A 16,580-nucleotide genomic window follows, 5' to 3' on the forward strand; every position below is an offset into this window, starting at 1 on the left:
TGTACACTATCTCTCGTGTCTGTGAGCTCCTTTCTGTTTCTATTGCCATCAGTGTCTTTCACAACCTCCTCTTTCTTTATGATGTGTTTCAAAGCAGATTCTTTATTTTCATTCTCCCAAGACCTGCTGCACCTTGCCTACTAATGTCAGATACGTTTTCTTCAAATGTCACACTTCAGGTTAGTTATTTGATTGAATGCCTATGTGATTCCCACTACTTCCATATAAAGTCCAATCCAATCAACTTAATTATTCACAGTTTTGTTCAATTGATTTTACTTTCCCTGCCTGACTTTCCATTTGTCTATTCAAGGTAGACTAGTTTCCACCATTGCGCTGACTTCTTGCCCTGAAATCACTACTTACAGCCTTACTCATCAAAGCAAACGACATCAATTAATGAAGTAAAACTCTTGTCCTAGGCTGTCTATTGGTCTTCTCTGATCCTTTGGCGGCAGAAGCTCTGCATACATCCATCTTGCCTAGACAGTGTTATGCAAATTAACACAACCAAAAACAAAAGTCAAATTGTGGTTCCTTTTATATATTTTATAAGTACTATTATTAATAATGAAAAGACTTTTTTTTAAAATTTGACTAACTTTTTTACATAATACTATCTACTTCATAACATGAAAGGATTAAGTGGATTTTTATAAATAATGTGCATAGAACCATGCTGAGAAAAATATGAATGTTCTAACATTGGTACTGATTGTTATTGTTATTTTTACTGCTAATTCTTAATTAGTAGAGACAAATGTTGACTGAACTATTTCTTTGGCGAGAAATAAATAATGCCATATTTTGGGCTCTTCAAGCCGAGTCTCTTCTGGCTTGGAACACTAAACTATATAAATTGACCCTTATTATTTAAAATGTAAACCACATTAAAAATTCATTTTCTTAATCAAGATGAAGCTAAGATATTTGGTTTCCAAACCATTAAAATTTTTATGAGCAATTCTCTGTAAAAGCATTTACCTCTGGTATAGTCGACTACTAGTTATGTACTAATAACTATTACTAGGATCCATTAGCTACTCGCTTTGATCTGTGTTGTCATGAACAGGAAGATTTGGAAACTGTTGATGGTTTATACATTGACTATACAAAATACTATATTTTAAAATGAAATCATATGAAATTAATTTATCAAGATTAACTGTAGTGATTACAAGGAAAGAACAGAGAGTACATGTTTGATACATTAAAAAATCTTTTCAAAAACCAAAGAAAATCATGGGTTTAGATTATAAAGTCATAAGGTGATAAGGCAACTTTTGCTCATGCGGAAATATGTTAATTAGTTTTATAATATTGTTTCTCCATCGAAGTACTTATACACGTGTTTGGCTACTTAAAATAGGGTAAAGAAATAAATAAATAAATTATAATGCTCTAAATGAAATTTGGCATATACCATCTCTCAAATTTGCAGTTTATAGTGCAGGAACAAAAAAGAAAAGGGAAGTGTGATGAAAATATTTAGAACCACTTGTCTAGAGTTTAAAAGAATTAGTAGCAAAAATATTACAAAATATAAAACTACTGATTGCCTTGAATTTGTTACCTGATCCCAAGTTATGAACATTAAAAGTGTCATAAAGAAACAAAGTCAGACACTTGTTAAAAATAGCAAGACAGATCTTAGTAAGATACTGCAGTAGGGAAGAGAGACTTCAGTGGAAACTGGGTTCAGCTCTGATGAAACAAAAGGCAGAAGGCTGTTTAAATGCTGGAATATGCTAAAGTAGGGGTTCCCAATCCCTGGGCCATGGACCAGTATGGGTCTGTGGCCCGTTAGGAACTGGGCTGCATAGCAGGAGGCGAATGGTGAGTGAGCAAGTCTAAGTAACACTTTGTATTTACAGTGGCTCCCCATCACTGGCATTATTGCCTGAGCTCTACCTCCTGTCAGATAAGCCACAGTATTAGATTCTCATAGTAGTGCAAACCTTATTGTGAACTGTGCATATGAGGGGTCTAGGTTGCGTGCTCCTAATGAGAATCTAATGCCTGGTGATCTGTCAATGTTCCCATCACCCAGGTGGGATTGTCTAGTTGCAGGAAAACAAGCTCAGGACTCCCATTGATTCTACATTATGGTGAGTTATATAATTATTTCATTACATATTACAATGTGATAATAAAGTACACAATACACGTAATGCACTTGAATTGTCCTAAAATCATCCCCCCACCCCACTGGGTCCGTAGAAAAATTGTCTTCAGTGAAACTGGTCCCTGGTGCCAAAAAGACTGGGGACCACTGTGCTAAAGCAAAAGTACCAAAGCACTTTGAGGTGGATGCTTAATGTGATTAGCCCAGTTGTGTTTGCTAACTGGCACTTACAGAAATAAAGTCCCTACTTTACCACAGAGACTGGGAAATAGAGGCCCTATCTTTCTCAATGGTTACATTTCAAAAGGAGGTCTCCCAGGTCCTTGAGAAAGACATTCCTGAGTTGCAGATACATTTCACAACGACAAGGAAAGGACTACAAGTTTCCTAATGTAAATTCTCTAAGAAAAGGGAAGTCTGGGACCCATAGCCAATGATATGGTTTGGTTCTGTGTCCCCACCCAAATCTCATCTTGTAGCTTCCATAATTCCCATGTGTTGTGGGAGGGACCCAGTGGGAGATGACTGAGTTATGAGGGGGAGACTTTTCCTGCTGTTCTCATGATGGTGAATGGGTCTCCTGAGATCTGATGGTTTTAAAAATGGGAGTTTGCCTGCACAAGCTCTCTCTTTGCCTGCTGCCATCCATGTAAGATGTCACTTGCTCCTCCTTGCCTTCCACCATGATTGTGAGGCTTCCCCAGCCACATGGAACTGCGAGTTCTCTATTAAACTTTTTTCCTTTGTAAATTGCTCAGTCTCAGGTATGTCTTTATCAGCAGCTTGAAAACAGACTAATACAGTAAATTGGTACCAGTAGAGTGAAGCTTTGCTGAAAAGATACCTGAAAATGTGGAAACAACTTTGGAACTGGCTAACAGGCAGAGGTTGGAACAGTTTAGAGGGCTCAGAAGAAGAGAGGAAAATGTAGGAAATTTTGGAACTCCCTAGAGACTTGTTGAATAGCTTTGACAAAAATGCTGATAGTGATATGAACAATAACATCCAGGCTGAGGTGGTCTCAGTTGGAGATGAGGAACTTGTTGGAAACTGGAGCAAAGGTGACTTCTGTTATGTTTTAGCAAAGAGACTGGCAGCATTTTGCCCCTGCCTTAGAGATTTGTGGAACTTTGAACTTGAGAGAGATGATTTAGGGATATGTGGCAAAATAAATTTCTAAGCAGCAAAGCATTTAAGAGGTGATTTGGGTGCTGTTAAAGGCATTCAGCTTTACAAAGGAGGCAGAACATGAATATTCAGAAATTTTGCAGCCTAATGATGTGATAGAAAAGAAAATCCCATTTTCTGAGAAGAAATTCAAGCGGGCGGCAGAAATTTGCAGTAGTAACAAGGAACACAATAGGGGAAATGTCTCCAGGGCCTGTCAGAGGTCTTCACAGCAGGCCCTTATACCACAGGCCTGGAAGACTAGGAGAAAATGGTTTCATGGGCAGGGCTCAAAGTCCCCCTGCTGTGTGCAGCCAGGGACCTGATGCCCTGCTTCCAAGCCACTCCAGCCATGGGTGAAAGGGGCCAATTTAGAGCTTGAGCTGTGGCTTCAGAGGGTGCAGGCCCTGAGCCTTGGCAGTTTCCACGTGGTGTTGAGCCTGCAAGTGTACAGAAGTCAAGAATTGAGTTTTGGGAACCTCTGCCTAGATTTCAGAAAATATATGGAAATGCCTGGATGTCCAGGCAGAAGTTTGCTGCAGGGGCCTGGCCCTCATGGAGAACCTCTCCTAGGGCAGTGCAGAAGGGAAATGTGGGGTTGAAGTCCCTACACAGAGTCCCTATTGGGGCACTGCCTAGTAGAGCTGTGAGAAAAGGGCCACTGTCCTCCAGACCCCAGAATGGTAGATCCACTGACAGCTTGCACAGTTCACCTGGAAAAGCTGCAGACACTCAATACCAGCCCATGAAAGCAGCTGGGAATGAGACTGTAGCCTGCAAAGCCACAGGGATGGAGCTTCCCAAGACCATGGGAACTCACCTCTTCCATCAGTGTGACCTGGATGTGAGACATGGATTTAAAGGAGATGATTTTGGAGCTTTAAGGTTTGACTGCCCCCTGGATTTCCAACTTACATGGGGCCTGTAGCCCCTTTGCTTCGGCAAATTTCTCCCATTTGGAATGGCTGTATTTTCCCAACGACTGTATCTGCATTGTATCTAGGAAGTAAGTAACTTGCTTTTGATTTTACAGGCTCATAGGCAGAAGGCCCTTGCCTTGTCTAGGATAAGACTCTGGACTGTGGACTTTTGAGTTAATGCTGAAATGAGACTCTGGGGGACTCTCGGGAAGGCATATTTGGTTTTGAAATGTGGAAATATGAGATTTGGGAAGTGGAATGGTATGATTTGGCTGTGTCCCCACCCAAATCTCATCTTGAAGCTCCCATAGTTCCCACGTGTTTTGGGAGGGAGCTGGTGGGAGATGATTGAATCATGGGGGCAGATCTTTCCCGTACTGTTCTCATGATAGTGAATGGGTCTCACGAGATCTGATGGTTTTAAAAATGGAAGTTTGCCTGCACAAACTCTCTCTTTGCCTGCTGCCATCCACATAAGATGTGACGTGCTCCTCCTTGCCTTCCACCACAATTATGAGACTTCCTCAGCCATGTGGAACTGTGAGTTTTCCATTAAACTTCTTTCGTTTGTTAATTGTCCAGTCTTGGGTATGTCTTTATCAGCAGTGTGAAAATGGACTAATACAGCCAGGTTTTGGCAGAAACAAACATTAACTTATTTTAGCAATGTTGATGTTTGTCAGGTAGACATTTAAGTGGGCTGGGATTGTTAACCTGGGACACAGCCTTGAACTGTTAAAAAGCTGTGCTAGAATTTGTTCAAGTCTCTTAGTGTGGGACATGCACAAAATCATTTATGCTGAGAATCTGCAGTTCTCACAGGCCAAGGTTAAGTCCCAGTCAATAAAAATGCTCGGAGGAGCCTGACTAAAGTCTGGTCAAGGAGAGAGTCTTTGCCATAAGAAACTTAATAATAACTAATATCTCTAGGCTACTATTTGTCATGCAATGAGCTAGTATTTGCAGCTTTTTCTTATTTAATTCTCATATTTCCTCTTGAGGAATATACTAGGATTACTGCCTTTATTTGAAATGTGTAACAGGCTAAGTAATTTTTTCATGAATTAATGCTGTCCTCATTTATTTAAACTGTATTTTCATAAGTTAGCACTAGATACAGGAACCAAGGGAACAGGTGTAGAAGTCCCAAGAAACTGAATGTGTGGGCAAAGCAAAGAATGGCTAAACACACAACATCCACTGAGTTACCATGCACGAGAAGAAGCAGGAAGATGTAGGTCCCCTGTTGGCCTTATATTCTTCCCACATAAATTATAGATTAACATATTTCCTGATTTTTTGAAGTTTCCAGAGATTTACCAACTTGATCTTTCATGTGACTTTCTCTTATTCTGGATTTTCAGTGACTTTTCCTCTCACTTTATTGTCTCTAAAATCACAGAAACCCTGTTTACCACAATTATTTTCTTAAATTTATTTCTACAGGTCTTTAGTTAAAAGGTACAGGGAAGCAGACAAACCTTAAACTTGATAATACGTGGGAAATAATGTTACTGGTATCTTAGAAGTCATGCCAGTAATTCGTCTAAATTTAAGCATCAATTGAAATACGGATGCAAAATTATTATACGTGATTAATTACTTTAGGTCTTTCATCAGTTTATGGTAGAGTAACCAAATTGCCCTTGATGCCTCTCATGTGTCAAGTATTGTTTTGGGTGCAAAGGATAGATCAATAATATGACATGGTTCTTGAGTCAGTTTGGTTATGACTGGAGTTGGTGAGAATGTTAGACTCACATTCATGAGTGGATTTGATAAATACAATGTGGCTGACATGATGTCTGCTCTCACCAAGACTTCCATTTCAGTTCTTTGATTTCTCCTTTGCTTTCGTTAGGAATGGCCTATATTTGGTACACCAAAAATTTACACTAATTAGTGAGCACTTCTCCTACTTTAAAAGAGAAGCTCAAACAGGAAAGAATACACACACACACACAATTTTTTTGGTATGAGATTCAAAATTCCTAGAAAGCTTATGACAAAATTATCAAATTTGTTGAATTCTCAAAATTGCTAAATTTCTGAATAATGTTCATCTAGCTACAGTACTTATTATTCCACCGGAAGAAAGCATATGCTTCAACACAAAAAAAAAATTTGAGTGCAAAACTATTAAGTAAAACTCTGAGAAAACATCATTTTTGTACTTGGCAATAAGGCAATTACTTAAAAAAAGTTAGCTAATATTTGTGAGTGTTACATTTAATTAAACATTAAAGAACTTTATAGAAGTATTTTTAAAAAGGAAGAAAGGAAGAAATGTAATAACCCAGAATTCAAGAGAAGATAAGCAAAATGTTATTTGACAGAATCCAGAAGCACATGAAAAAGTTAATTCACCATGATCAAGAAGGCTATATTCCTGGGAAGCAAAGTTGGTTCAACATACGCAAATCAATAAATTTGATTCACCTCATACACAAAACAAAACTGAATAACCATATCATTATTTCAACAGACTCAGATAAATCTTTTCATAAAATTCGACATCTCTTTATGATAAAAACCTACAACAAACTAGGCATTAAACATACCTCAAAATGATAGGAACCATGTGTGACAAACCTAGAGCAAAATCATACTGAATGGACAAAATCTGGAAGCATACCCCTTGGGAACTGGAGCAAGACAATAATGCCCACTTTCACCATTCCTATTCAACATAGTACTGGAAGTCCTAGACAGAGCAATCAGGCAAAAGAAAAAAATACAAGGCATCTAAATAGGAAAAAAGGCAGTCAAATTAACTCTCTTTGGTGCTGATATAATTCTGTACCTAGAAAACTGTAAAGACTCTTTGAAAAGGCCCCTAGAATTGATTAGCAACTGCAGTAAAGTTTCAGGATCCAAAATCCACATACAAAAATCAGTAGCATTTCTATACACCAATAATGTTCAAGTTGGGAGCCAAATTAAGATCAAAAACCCATTTACAATAGCCACAAAAAAAATTAAGTAGGAATGCATCCAACAAAGGAGATGAAAGATTTCTAGAAGGAGAATTACAAAATACTGCTGAATGAAATCATAGATGAAACAAATGGGAAAATGTTCCATGCTCATGAACTGGATCTACCGACTACGTTTTTCCCAGAACTAGAAGAAAGTCTTCTAAAATTCATATGGAACTAGAAAAGAGCTTGAATAGCTAAAGCAATACTAAGTGAAGAGAAGAAAGCTGGAGGCATCACATTACCTGTTTTCAAATTGTATATAAGGCTACTTTAACTAAAACAGCATGGTATTGTCACAAAAACAAACACATAGAACAATGAAACAGAATAGAAAACAGAAATAAGGCTGCTTACTTACAACCATTTGATCTTCAACAGACTCGACAAAAATTAGCAATGGAGAAAGGACTTTCTATTCAATAAATGGTGCTAGTTTAACTGGCTAGCCATATGCAGAAGAATGAAACTGCACCCTTGCCTTTCATCGCAGGCAAAAATTGTCTTAAGATGAATATAAGACCTAAAACTATAAAAGTGCTAGAAGAAAACCTAGGACATGGCATTCTGGACATCAGCCTTGGCTAAGAATTTATGAGTAAGTCCTCAAAAGTAATTGCAAAAACAAAAATTACAAAAAATAAAAATTGACAGTTGGGACCCTAAAGAGCTTCTGTACCTCAAAATAAACTATCAACAGAGTAAACAGATAACCTATGGAATGGAAGGAAATATTCATAAATTATGCAACTTACAGAAGTCTAATATCCGGAGCCTCTAAGGAACTTAAACAATTCAAAAGTGAAAAAACAAATAAGCTCATTGAAAAGTGAGCAGAGGACATGAAGAGACAGTTCTCAAAGGAAGACTTACAAGCAGCCAACAAACAAATGACAAACCCTCTACATCACTAAGTATCAGAGAAATACAAATCAAAGCAAATATGAGATACTGTCTCACACCAATCGGAATGCTATTATTAAAAAGTCAAAAAATAACAGATGTTGATGATATACTTTGAATATATGTCCCTACAATATCTCATGTAAAATTGTAATCCCCGATGTTGGAGGTGGGACCTGCTTGGAGGTGTGTTTGGGTTATGGAGGCTGATTCCTCATGGCTTGGTGCTGTCCTCATGACAGTGAGTGAGTTCTCATGAGATCTGATCATTTATCATTTAAAATGTGTGGCACTTCCCCACCTCTCTCTTGCTTCCACTCTGCCACGTGAGAGCCTTGCTCCAGCTTTACCTTTCACCTGAGGCCTCCCTAGAAGCTGAGTAGATGCTGGTGCTGTGCTTCCTGTACAGCCTGCAGAACAATTAGCCAATTCAATCTCTTTTTTAAAAAAATTACCCAATGTCAGGTATTTATTTATAGTAATACAAGAACAGCCTAACACAGTTGCTGAGGCTGTGGAGAAAAGGGAATGGTTATACACTCTAGGTTTGAATGTAAATTAGTTCAGCCTCTGTGGAAAGCAGTTTGGAGATTTCCCAAAGAACTCAGAACTACCGTTAGACCCAGCATTTACGTGACTAGGGATACACACTAAGGAAAATAAATCATCCTACAAAAAAGGGACACATTACTTTGTGTGTTCCATCATAGCACTATGCACAAAAGCCAAGTGTATTAGTCTGTTTTCACACTGCTATAAAGTACTGCCTGAGACTGGGTAATTTATAAATGAAAAAGGTTTAATTAACTCACAATTCAGCATAGCTGGGGAGGCTTCAGGAAACTTACAATTATGGTAGAAGACAAATGGGAAGCGAGGCACCTTTTTCATAAGGAGGCAGGAAGGAGAATGAACTCAGGAGGAACCACCATACACTTATAAAACCATCAGGTCTCATGAGAACTCACACACTTCGCGAGAACAGCATAGGGGAAACCGCCCCCGTGATTCAACTACCTTCACCTGGTCTCTCCCTTGACACGTGGGGATTAAAAGGATTACAATTCAAAATGAGATTTTGGATGGGGACACAGCCAAACCTTATCATCAAGACATGGAATCAACCTAAGTGTCCATAGATTGGATAAAGAAAATGTAGTACATATACACCATGGAATACTACACAGCCATAAAACAAGAATGAAATCATGTCCCTTACAGCAACATGGATGCAGCTGGAGACCATTATCCTAAGAAAATTAACACAGGAAGAGAAAAACCAAATACTACATGTTCTCACTTATAAGTGGGAGTTAATTATTGGGTACACATGGACATAAATATGGGAACACTAGCACTGGGAACTACTACAGAGGGAAGAGTAGGAGTGGGTCAAGGTCTGAAAAAATACCTGCTAGGTACTATGCTCACTATCTAAGTGATGGGATCAATCATACCCCAAAACTCAGTGTCACACAATATACCATGCACATGTGCCCCCTGAATCTAAAATAACAGTTGAAAGCATAAAACATAAAATAAAATAAATCTTCGATTGGCATGATAAATGTTAAAAATTAAACATCAAGGGAAACTGTGTGAGAAACATATGGGGATACTCTGTATTACCTTGGCAACATTTCAGCAAATTTAAATTTATTTCAAAATAAAAATTCATATTAAAATTACCCCTGCTAAAATTTTAATTAACAATATTTATAACTTTAAAAAGGAAATTAAATGTGTTTCAAGAATAAGGGGACACTGACATCCTCCTTCTTCCATTCTGAAGAAGATCATAAAACATAAGCACCTGCACCTGCCCCAAGACTGGATCAAAAGGTGAACACACAGATCTATTAATCACTCATCTAAAATTCTCAAACGCTAAGATATTCCATAGACTCTAAAGTCAGACCTGAATACTACCTCAAAGGACTTGAACAAGAAGTTCCAAGAAAAAAATAGCAACAGTAGTTTTAGGAGGAAATGTGCATAATTAATAGGTCAACAAGGATAGGTAAGAGACAGATAGCCTGAATTCCCACTAATGGGAATATTAAAAAGAAACAATGAAAGAAAAGTATATACTTACCTGTACAAATGAAATTGTAAACTAAAGAGAATTCCAGTTTAGCAGATTAAAGCTGAAGTCTTGACTCAAATTTCCATTTGGTCTAAAACCATAATGGAATACGGAGACTGAAAAAAAGCCCAAGTAAATGAGACACATTTCTGTGGAAGGAGTTAAATGATTTTATTTTTTTCAACAGAGTAACCTGAAGAAGGGAGCCTGCATAATCCTGAAGGTCAGGGAGCAAATTAAAGAGTAAAGGGGCATCCACTGGAGATTTTCTTCTGAATGCCTTGGGTTTTAAGCATATCCTTTTGTGAGATGCAAGGGATGTTGGGTTGTAGGCAGAGCTAGAAATCTTTCCCTTCTTATTTTCTAGTTCTTTTCAGAAGTTGCCCTAATCATTTAGAAAGGAGATTTGCATGAACCTGAAAGTTGCAGAGTTTGCTTTGTAAAGAATAAGAAACACTAGTGTCAAAGATCAAATAAAGAAGGCTGGTTGCTTTACCCGTTATTCAGGCAGAGAAGGAAAATAGTGAACTGTGTGGACCATGTCTAGGTTCAAGGAGGAGACAGGTGAAAGCCCAGAGTACCTAACAGTGGAGAATTTCTGGACACTGGAGGAAAAAAGGTTTGATGTGAAGAAGATTCAAAAAGTAAAATGAAAAAGAAACAGTGTAAATATGTCCTCCCCACACAAACACTGGCTCACTGAGGGAAATGGGAGTCTTCGTAATCTCCAAGGTTTCAGAAAATATAAAGTATCTACCTGTAAATCAATTACGCCCCAACCCAATGCTAATGAATGTACTTTCTATGGAGAGATCTCTCTGCAATAACCATGGAGAACTGAAAAACTAAACCTAAATCATAAGAAGAGTTTAGGCACATATTAGGAGTGTTTTAGAGAAAATGTCTTCTGACAGCATGGTTGTACACAAATCAGCCAGAACTTTTCATGACCCCATGCATTAGCTGATATGCCAAGATGCCCATGCACCAGCCATGAATCTCCTTCTGGCCACTGGAGCCAATCCTTATCTTCATAAATACCTTCCATTACTTTCAGGTTTCTTGTGTCCATAGCCAAATGACTGAATTAAACTCTGAAAAACTTGTATTAGGAGCAACCTTGATTCTTACCAAAAACAATACTGCATTTCAAGAAGATGAAACTTTTTATATGGTAAATTATAAAATCTTGCACTGCTTTCTATACTTGTATCAGGAGCACCCTTGATTCTTACCAAAAACAATACTGCATTTCAAGAGGATGAAACTTTTTATAAGGTAAATTATAAAATATTGCACTGCTTTCTATACTTATAAATATTTTGCATATGTCATTATAGCAAATAACAATTTTTAGAAATAATTAAAGTCTCAAAGTGTTCCTTTCTTGAAGTCAGCAGCAGTTACAATTTGTTGTAACTAGAAAAACTGAATAATATTTTATTCATTTTAATTATTGGAGGTCATATAAGTCTCTGGACTTACTGTATTTTATCTAAAACATGTATTTTCATTTTGGAAATGGAGAATTATTTCTTTATTAATCTAAGCATGTCTATGCTTTTAGAATATGAGGCAGGCTCTGCAATTTTCTTACAAGACGCTAAAGGAATGGAAAGCAAAATCAACAAAAGGAAAAGAGACTGAGAAAAAAATTATACATATTGTTTATAAGTTTGGTGATAACAAGAGTTACTTTTAAAGATGCTTGCGCGTATACACTATCTTCCAACTGTTTCAGATGTAAATATATTAAAACAAGCATTTTAACCTCAGATAAATAAAAAAGACACATAGTTAGGCATCTTCACAATTATAAACTGCTGCTTATTCTTATCCATGCTCCTAAAATGCCTTATAATATCTGCTGTCACTGCCTTGGATTATAAGCCCAAAACAGAATTTTCTTTTTTTAATAGATAATATTATAAAGGTGATTTTCTAAGTGTACACGGCCTCTTTAGGAAGATAGCAGTAAGGCTCAGATGTATGATTTATAGAGCAGAGCTTTTAAGCCATAAACTCATCATTGATGTCTTACAGCCAGATTTAATTACCTTCCTGAATTTTGATTATTTTTTCCTTGCTTTAAACAGATCACACATAAAAGTATGCCTACGTGATATATAGTTTTTCTTGTTTTTGAAATGTATACAAATAGTCTCCTATAAATAAATAAATAAATAAATAAATAAATAATTTATTCATTCCTGGACTTGCTTTCTTGACTCAGTCAAGTCAAAGCTAAAATGAAAGCAATTATTTTAGAGACCTATGTAAAATACATGCTTATTTAGCTGAGATTTGCTTCAAAAACTCGAGTAAAACAAAGAGCTCCATGTAAAAATGGTGACATTCGTGTTTAATTTTCCTTAATTCATCTCATATATGTATATATATATATGCACACACATAATTTCATACACTGTGTAATTTTACAATCTGTACTGTCACCAAAATTTACCTATTTTATCTTGTATTCTACCAGAGTTCTATTACATGGAAATTGTGAAGTTCACAGTAATATAACTACTCTAAGTTGTTAATCACATATAATACATTAAGCATTGTGTTGGGTAATTGGCATTCTTTTATCTCTTTTAATTTAATGAAAATTGTATTAGTTAGGATAGGCAATAATGTGTTATGGTAACAAATATAAAACATCAGAAGCCTAAAATAAGAAAAATTATATATTGTTATTCACTCTCAATGTCCAAATTGTTCTGCTATTATACTCACTCAAGGATGTAGGTTGACAGAGCTAATAATGACACACTCAAAAGAGGGAAGAAAAACATCATAAATGATACACTGGATCTTATATTTATCATTCAGAGGTGACCTCCACGAGTTCACTTTTAATCACAAATATTATGGTCATATATCACTTGAAAAACAAAAACACAGAAGTATAATCCTGTCATGTGTCTGCAAAGAAAACGAGAAATATTTGGTAACAGGAATAATGACTAACCTCTCTCAAAAAAAAATTACAAGACAGCCACTATCATCATTTGTGAAGTAAAGAAACAGAAGCTCAAAAAAGTAAGTAACGTTAATAATTGACATGAAGTCATTAATCCAGTAATACTAAAAACTGAATACTAATCCATTTCTAAAACCTTTATTTTTTCCTAGTATTAATATTTTAATTGGAACTTAAAGGTAAAACATTAGACTAATCATCAACAGTTTATGATGCACCATCACCATTAGCAAATAAATGGCGCTTTTCTTAATGGTATTTATTTGTACAGTGCAATGAATATTAAAAATTTGCTTAAACCAAGAATTAGAGTATTACCAACTATATTCATCTGCATGTCTCTATTCTCCCATTCCCCTGTCTCTTTACCCTCAGAGATAATCACTTTCCCATAGGCCAGACAAGAGCCAATCTTGTAAGCAGATGTTTCTAAGTGCAGCAGTCTCAGGTCTCTTTTCTGCATACTGTAAAACTAAATTGTATTTAATTTGCATATATCACATTTTCCTTCCTAATATGAATTTATAAATGTCATGAATGATGTTGACAAACCATGAAACAATTTCATATAAATACATTTTCTAGAAGCCACATATAATAGCAAATGAAGTGGATTTAAGATTTTAGGTTAGGTCTCTGAAATGTACAAACAGAAAGAAGGGGAAAGAGCAGAATTGAAAGAAGAACATGGGCAGGAGGTCACGTCACCAGCATAGCATTCCCAGTCAGCTTTCTAGAGCTAATGACTGATATGACAGAAGAGGCAAACAATCCCAAATCTATAAAATATAACATTGTTAAATTCTTTATTTTTATAACTTATAAATAAGAACATTAATTTCCAATATACCATTGCCCTATTATTTTCCAGTACTAGAAAACACAACAAAATTTTCAAATGATTTACACAACGTCATATCAAGGCAAACTATAGCCATATTGAGACATACTCATGATGTAATATAAGTAAACAAGATGTCAGTAAGTTGTGATTCTCCCAAGTATATAAAAGCCTTTCAAACTTTTATGGCATAGCGTACCTTCTTTCCTTTTTTGAGCTAAAATTTTCTACTCTGTATCACTATATCTATTCCTCTGTCTGTCCTACTCCTAGTCAAGACTCAACTAAGAATCAATCTTCAAAAAAAAAAAAAAAACAATTCAGGGAGGCTAGCTGAAGAATGATTTAGTTACCTATTTTGAGCTCCCATCATCTTCTTGGAACACTATTTTGATAGATATATGAGTTTTCTTGTCAGTATCCCTCACTATGCTGTAAAATCTATAAGAGAGGTGTTAGTTTTCTATCACTATGGTAACAATCACCACAGACTTAAAATAACACTAATTTGTTACCTTATAGTTCTGTGAGTCATCAGTCTCATTAGCCTAAAATCGAGGTGTGGACAGGACTATATCCCTTCTGTAGGTCAAAAGGAAAATCCATTTATTTGTCTGCTCCGGCTTCTGGAGACAGCCCTGTTCCTTGACTCATGGTTCTTCTTCAATTTTATCAGTTAATAACAGTTAATTGAGTACCACTCACAACACGCACTTATTCCATAGTCACATTTCCCTCAGACTTTGAGCTTATCTGCTTTACTCTTTCATTTTCAAGGACTCTAATTATTGTATTGAGCTTTCCTGTATATTCCAAAATAATCTTTTCAGGTCAGCTGACTGGTGAATTTTATCTTCAATAAATTCTCATTTGCTATGTAATGTAACATATTTGCGAGTTCCAGAAATTAGGACATAGAAATAATTGGGGAGTTATTATTCTGTTTATCCCAAGGGGCATAAAAATTATCCAGTGTTTTTAATGAGCTCAATAAATATGGTATTTATCAATCTGAAACAATCAAGTTTCAGAACATGTCTGAATCTATTTGGTACTGTGGACAGCATGAGCAATATTAAATGTTAGAACATCTGAAACAGATGAAGACCTTTTATGTGGACAATACTCAGATCTACTTGACTAATTAGTACAGTCTCTTAAAATAATTCCTTTAGATTAATTCCTTCAGATAACAGATGAGGAAATTGTATCCCAGACAGACACCGTGATTTTCTCTATGTCCTTCATGGAAACAGGGAGACTCCCCCTCCACCCTGTGTCACATTTTGTAACTCGCACAACATAAAAGATCTGCTTGAACCCTGATGACTGATGGTCTCATGAAAAAAAAGATCTTTATTTTCAGCTTTTTGTAACTATGTATTTTAGACATATACATTATGAGACTGGATTGGGGTACCAATCTCAGAGAGAAAGTATGTATTTTACCTTTACATTTTTTTATTTGATTACAATCTAGTAAACAAGTTAAAGAAAGAAACCCATGGCCTCCCAAATAATTGACAGACATTTACAATTAAGATTATTCTTTCAAAATTCAAGTTTTGAATTTGAGGTAAGAAATATCCCTTCAGAAATCTCCCACATTTTTGCTGTATCTACAGTATATCTCATTATACTCAGTTAAGTCATTCAGTAATAACTAAAATCCTAAAGTACTTCGCCAAAAATTTAACCAGATAAAAACAATTTTAAAAAGTAGCTAATGAATTTAAGATAGTGCCTGGCTTCCATTTTTTACACTTGTCAACTAGCCTATCTTTTATTATTTAATTTTTATTTATTTCTCAAAGAACTAAAGTAGATCTACCATTTGATCCAGCAATTCCACTACTAGGTATCTACTCAAAGAAAAAGAAATCATTATATAAAAAAGACACATACACATGCGCATTTATTTGCAACACAATTCACGACTGCAAAGATATGGAATCAATCTAAGTGTCCACCAACCAATGAGCGGATAAAGAAAACATGGTATATAGACACCACGGAACACCGCTCAGCTATAAAAAATAACGAAATTATGTTTTTTTTTGCAGCAACTTGGATGGAACTGGAGGCCATTATTCTAAGTGAAGTAAGTCAGGAATATAAAACTAAATACTTCAAGTTCTCACTTGTAAGTGGAAGCTAAACTATGGGTACACAATGATATACAGAGTGATATAATAAACAATATCCTACCTTAACAAGCCACTGTCCCTTTAATTTTATCTCCTGTATCCCGTAAAAAGGACGTAAAATTCACAGGTGAGTACTATTCTTAATGTCTCCAAAATTAATAGCTGTGCTTGATGTTTTCTTATAGAATTGAAATTCCAAATATATGCTTATAAATAAACGATAAATCCAAATTTGTTACATTGTACACATGTTGCCACTTTGAAAGTTAATATTATTTTCAACTTCCAAAGTTTGTAATAATATTTTAAGAGATTCAGACAAACATGACCTCAGAAGAATCTATGAGGAGGCATACATATTCTTTAGCCCTAGATATATAAAATCTTATTTGGTCAGAGAGTTAAGAGTTATAAAGTATTTCTT

General features: G+C 35.9%; 1 protein-coding gene and 1 long non-coding RNA gene across 21 annotated transcripts in view; one reads left to right on the top strand and one right to left on the bottom strand.

Moving 5' to 3' along the window:
• The window catches only part of PCDH15 (protocadherin related 15), a 1,825,172-nt gene that overhangs the window by 820,046 nt on the left and 988,546 nt on the right, over positions 1-16,580 (bottom strand). The gene's annotated exons all lie outside the window — the stretch shown is intronic.
• Positions 1-16,580, top strand: part of LOC105378311 (uncharacterized) — a 169,822-nt gene that overhangs the window by 136,587 nt on the left and 16,655 nt on the right. The window lies entirely within an intron of this gene.

This window comes from Homo sapiens, chromosome 10 (assembly GCF_000001405.40).
Source record: "Homo sapiens chromosome 10, GRCh38.p14 Primary Assembly".
Taxonomy (NCBI): domain Eukaryota; kingdom Metazoa; phylum Chordata; class Mammalia; order Primates; family Hominidae; genus Homo; species Homo sapiens.